At 44.0% G+C, this 6,000-nt stretch overlaps 1 pseudogene; it reads right to left on the reverse strand.

Moving 5' to 3' along the window:
• On the reverse strand, positions 5,224-6,000 carry LOC100421985 (olfactory receptor family 8 subfamily B member 3 pseudogene; annotated as a pseudogene).

Here is a 6,000-nt window from a genome sequence, read left to right on the forward strand (position 1 = left end):
AAATGGTCAAAATGGTATATTTTCCATTGTGTTTTTACCACAATTAAAAATTTAAAAATAAAAAATAAATCTAATAAAGTATTAAATAAAATATGTTTCTACCTCTTGCTTTGACAAGCTACCTTTATAGCCCTACAAAGCCAGATTCAAATTAGAGTCCTAAGAATCTTCAAAGTTCCATGTCAGAAGGTGGCCAGGGAAAGCTGCCCTGGCTCCCAAGTGCCTGCCCATGGCCCAAAGCTTCCCTCCTCCACTTCCCACTGCCAGCTGGGTTAGGGTTAGCATTAGGGTTAGGGTTAGGGTTAGAGCCAGGAAAGAAGCTTACACAGACCCTGGAAGATGAGGAGTCTAGCCCCAAACTAGATCTATGTATGATCTTTCAGGCCTGACTGTAGGAATTACCAAGACACACAAGCAATTTCTTTGTGTGGCAGGCCTCGTGAGGAAAATCTGCCCTCCCCTCACCAGACTTGGTGCACAGCCAATGCATTGCAGTCTCCAAGAGATTTGCAGTCAAGGACTCACACCCTCTCCCAGCCCCTACCCCCCTGGCCCACAACCTTATGTATATCTGCATTCCTACCTTAGGTGCTTCCATTCAGAGACCTCCTCGATAGAGGGAGTGAGGGAAGGGGGACCTCTGCTGAGACACTGCTCAAGTGTGTCTGCCACAGGAGAGACTTGAAGACACTTTTCTTTAGTACTCAGACTTTTCCACACAGAGAACTTCCCCCTCTCACTGACCCCGATCCTTTCCCCACTCCCACCCTGTCTGGGCTGATCCACCTGACCCTTCCCAGTGCTGTGCTGTTCTGCAGGGGGAGAGGGCACCTCCTTCTTTCTCTTTTTGCCTCTTGCTTACACAATAAGCAAACTGCAATAAGTGAATAAAGGCTTCCTTGTCACTTTCAGTTTGTCTCAATGTCTTAGAAATGGGAGCATAGGCTCCAGCTAGATGCTTTCCCTTTGGTTCTGCAGACTAATTTGGAAGATGTGGTCAGTGGATGGCCAGAGCAGAGTCCAGGAAAAGGAGCCCTCTCAGCAAGGCTAAGAAGGTCCACAGATGCACTCCCTTACCGCTATTATTTGACCTGTCACTGTTTCTCTACCTCTCCTCCTACCTCCAAACTAGCTAAGCCCACAACTGAAATAAAAAGTAACATTTGTCCTTCACACTACAATTTATAAAGCACATTAACACTCAATATCAATTAATCTTACATCCTTATGACCTCATAACATTATTCCCATTTTATAGATAAGAACATTGGGGTTAAGACTTACCCAAAGGCACAAGTGAGAAATTGGCACCCCGACCCCATATCTTTTAACTATAGATTTCAAAATTCATGCTTTTTTAAACTATAGCTTTCAAAAATTCAGGCTTTTTAAACTATAAATTTCAAAATTCATGCGAAATTCTACTACTCAGCCTTGCCATGCATCTCCCAGCTTTGCAGGAGGATCTAATCTGGTCTTTAAAAAGCTTCAAAAAGTTTGGGGCGGAGGATTTTATCACTAAAAGCAGAGAGGGTATAAAAAAAACAGTCAGGGCTCAGATCTAAAACCATCATGGCAGGAAGAATAAAACACAAGGACAGCAATCTCTGTCAGGGTCTTAATGCTCCATTCTCATCTCAAAACACAAAATGAGGGCCTTTAATGCACTTAAACAAATGCTAACCAAATTCCACACCAATTACTTGGAATATATGTTCTCAAGCCCTCAATCTTCATACCACCCCACTGAAAATACTTCATTAATGAAAGGACAATAGAAAGCCACTGGGCTTTATCTGTTCAGAGATGCAGCTTGCAGCAGCCCCGGATAAAGTCTGACCCTCCTCCAGAAAACATCCACTCAAGTTATGCCTCTCTCTAATTACCAGGATGCTTGGACAAGGGCCTAGCATTTTATTTAGAGAATCATCCCTGCTCCCAGCACAAATAAATACAAGACTGCAGCTGCAGATACTGTCTACTCAGAGCCGGCTTCCTGCAGTTACCATGTTGTCACCCTATCCTAGGATCTCATCTAGCCACCTCTGCACCCCAAGCTCAGCAGGACCATGTCATTCACTCACACGGCTACAGAGAACATGCTGTCAGATGCCCTGTTGCCTGACTAGTGACCCTGTCTCAAGGGGCTAGGCCTGGATCCACCTCCCCCAACCACCCAACCAAACCAAATGGTCAAGTTTATAGCTATATCCCCCATCACCACCACTAAATGGCCATTTGCAGCTGCAACCTTCCCCTGCTGTTGAAGTCCCTGACATTTGGCCAGGAATTATCTGGTGAATTGTCTCAGAGCAGGAAAGAATCTCACCACCTTCTACTACTCTTTCCGTAGGTTTTAGAGTAAGACAGCTCAAAGTATGAATCCCTCAGTGACTAGATTTCCTAACCCTGGGCTGGGTTGAGTTACCCAACAGGCAGATCAACTGTATGCTTAGGACACCAGCACAGTGAGTGTCTTTGAAAAGCGTTTCTAAAATTTTACAATGAAAACAGCAACCACAACAGCAAAACTCTAAAGAGAAGCTACTTTAATTCCTGCAAATATGTAAGTTAAATAAAAACTTTTTTAGTTTGAATTTCCAGTGGGTGGCCTCTAAAGGTCTGAATCAGGCCATGCTTTGGCAAGTCACGTATCCAAGACCTCTGGACTCCCCTCCTCCCGGGAGACTGATTGCATCACCTAAGTGACATCATGCCTGCCACAGGATAGGTGGTGAATAATCGTCACTTCCTTTCCCTTCTTTCTCCACTTCCCTGTGTTTCTCTCTACAAACTCAAGACACGCAAACATAAGCAAACCCACATATCTGTCTTTTTAGGTTCCAACTCAGCAATTCCACAACCCCTATTAAAAAGAACGTGGGGCATGCGAGAATTAGGATTTCTGATTCTCTCCCCTGCCTGTGCTGTAGACTGAAGGCACTTCCCAGGAGCATTTCCCCAGTCTCCCCACTGCCTCGTCCTTCAGCCATAAGATGGAGACAAGGGTTGCTCTCACTCAAGACTCCTTTCCTCTTTGTAGCGTCATGCCCCCACCCTCCTCTGTTTCAGAAATCTAGGCAGAAACTCTTCTACAAGTGACAGCTGTCCTAGGAAGGCACTCTGGTGCAACAAAAACAGCCCGTTGCTGACTTGCCTGGGAGTCAAGAGGAATCTTTGGGAGACAAGAGCTGTAAGACCAGAAGCCTGAGTCAGAACACTTGGCTGAACTGGGGCAAACAGCAGGTGCTGTCCCCTGCCACACTCTGCACTACTGTGGCCCAGCAGGTACCAACCCAGAAAACAGGAGCATGGCAGGAGGCAGGGAAAAAAACTGGAAGAGTAGATACACAGATAAAAAAGTGGCCTCTAGCGACTCCTAGGTGGTGGCTCTCCAAGCTCCTCCACTTCCTCCTCTGTGCTAGCTCGGGCCTGCGTCAAAGCCACATTCCTGTCCCAGCATCTACTCTTGCAACATCCGCTCCAAGCAGACTGCCTACACAGACAGCTCCTGTGGGTTCGCCTTGGCCACTGCAACCAGGATGAGCCAGGCTGATAAAACACGGCACCCTCTGGCTTCCCACATTACAGCAAATAGAGGCTACCTCACTAAGCAGAGTGAAAGAGCAACCACCACATAACATTCTTTAATCTGTAAAACTGATATTTCTCTAATCTGGGTAAAACTGTCATAGGAGAGATGATTGGGTCCAGTGACCCAAAAACTCTGTAGTCTGTAAGCCAACTTCCAGCTCTAAATTTTAATTGATTTCTGACTTTATTTTAGAAAATGTGACCTTTTTCCCCATTATTTTTCTCCCATGAGTTTCACCCAATACCAAGAAATAGCCAAAGAAAGCATAAGAGAGAAGGAATTATTTTGTGCTTATTAAAACAAAAAACAAGTCTATTTATTAATTTTATGAATTGTTATTTCTAACCACTTAGCAGTTTGAATGTTCAGGAAAAAAAAAAATGTCCTCCCTCTAAAACAGAGAAAAATGCTGAATGAAAATGTTAATAACAAACATACTAACCCACCAATTGGCTTAGCTGGTCTAAAAATAAGAGATTTTAGAAGTAAAAAATAAAGACAGAAGCACAGCATCTAACAGTATAGATAAGGCTGGAGCCACTGTTTCCCTTGGAAGTGTCTGCCAGTCGTAGGAGGCCTGCAGCCTGGGTTTTGACACATGAGGGGCGAGAGATGAAGCCTGGAGCCCAGGCAGGATGGATGTAGAATTAGAGGCCACCTTACCTCCCCACAACCCTCATAAACCAACGCCAAAAGTATGTAAAGCCTGAGTGAATGAGCCAGAAAAGAAGTGTCCCTTCAGGGAGATGGTGAGGATACAGGCTGGTCTCAACCTTGACTCTGGATGGAAAGGGAAAACAGAGAGAAAGGAAAAGCCTCTGCTTTAAGAATTCTTTACCACACCAGCATACACAGGTGCATAGACCTGGAATTTACATTACCTCTACATGACATGTAAAACCCCAAGCCAAACATCTATTAGAAGGAAGTCCTAGATGTCATTATTTATAACTAATTAGAAGTGGGTTAAGTGCTCCAAAGGTAAGTTGAGGGTCTTACGGACTCATTAACTGGGGAAACTGAACTGACTTTCTAAGGTAAGGTACAGCCTCTCTGAAGAAGTGAAATTCAGATACCCGAAGGATAAGGAAGTGCAGTCACTATCTGGCTTCTCATTGCTTCTCTGCCTTTTGGCTAAGATCAAGAGAGATTTGGCTTCTCAGTATCAGAACCCTGTTCTCACTGGGGAATCTGCCCTTGTGTGAATCTTAGTTGAAATCTTCCCACTAGTAAGACCAGACACTAGCTCTCAGACTCCTGGAATCCACAGCCCAACCACACCACCCCATCTCAGCCAATCAGATGCTCTGCATAGGTCTTGGCTTCCAAAACAAATATTATGAAGAAACCAGGGTCATAGAGAGTTCACAAAGCAAAGACAAAGACAGTGTCTTCCAGCAACCAGCTGTGGTGGTGTATGTGATATTCCGTTGCCAGTGTAACATAATTGGACTATCCCAAGACTGTGTATGATTCTAGCCATTGGTAGAAAGGTTAAATATGACCTACACTACAAGGAAAACATTAAGAGGACAAATACTCTTTGGAAAGCATTCAAAAAGAGTCCTAGTAACCATCACCACTCAAAGTCAAGAAGAAAATGACAAAGGTTTCATTGCAGCAAGTTAGATAGTCTTGTTCCTCAAGGTGTTGAACAGACCGTTCATCACTGGCCCCATCTTGGTGAAGGACACTGTAATTTACACTAACCCATAGCTTCTGGAGATCTGAGGTACATGAATGTCCCTAATCCAAAAAAAGAAATAAACAGATTTATGGAATCTGGCTGAAGATTTGGACCACTGGGTTAATGAAAAATGTTGAAAAGAATGAAAACAAAATATGAAAATGATAACACAGCATGGTACACTGCTGGTTCTCATGAATACAAATCCACCTGCTTCTGACATAGGTACTGATTCAGGCAGCCTGAAGCGGGCCTATGTTACACAAGTTAAGGCTCATGCAACTGTGATCACAAAACAGGAATTGGTCCATGTCCCTTGATGGACCACAGCATCAGCAAATTCTATAACTTATGAACCATCTACAGAAATGAAACTTATGAAAGAGACCGGCAGGGTCATGGCCTCATAGTGATCCAAGGCCAGTGGGATAAATATGGAGTAATCACTAATGACAAAGAAGCCAGAGGAAAAGGCTGAGTGTTTGATGTCACATAGGTGATGATGTTCTTTTCTGTCACAAAGCTTATTGTCATTTGGGGAGAAATGACAGAGGAATAGAAGAAACCTATGAAGGAAAAGCTAAAGATATAAAGGTACATGGAGGTGTGGCAGTGGGTACATGGAGGTGTGGTGTGGTCATCCCAGTTAGGGTGACCAAAACACAGAGTAGAGAGAGGGTTGAAGCTCTGGCTCACCTGTCAACTTAGCGAAAATATA

This window comes from Homo sapiens, chromosome 11 (assembly GCF_000001405.40).
Source record: "Homo sapiens chromosome 11, GRCh38.p14 Primary Assembly".
NCBI classification, from domain to species: Eukaryota; Metazoa; Chordata; class Mammalia; order Primates; family Hominidae; genus Homo; species Homo sapiens.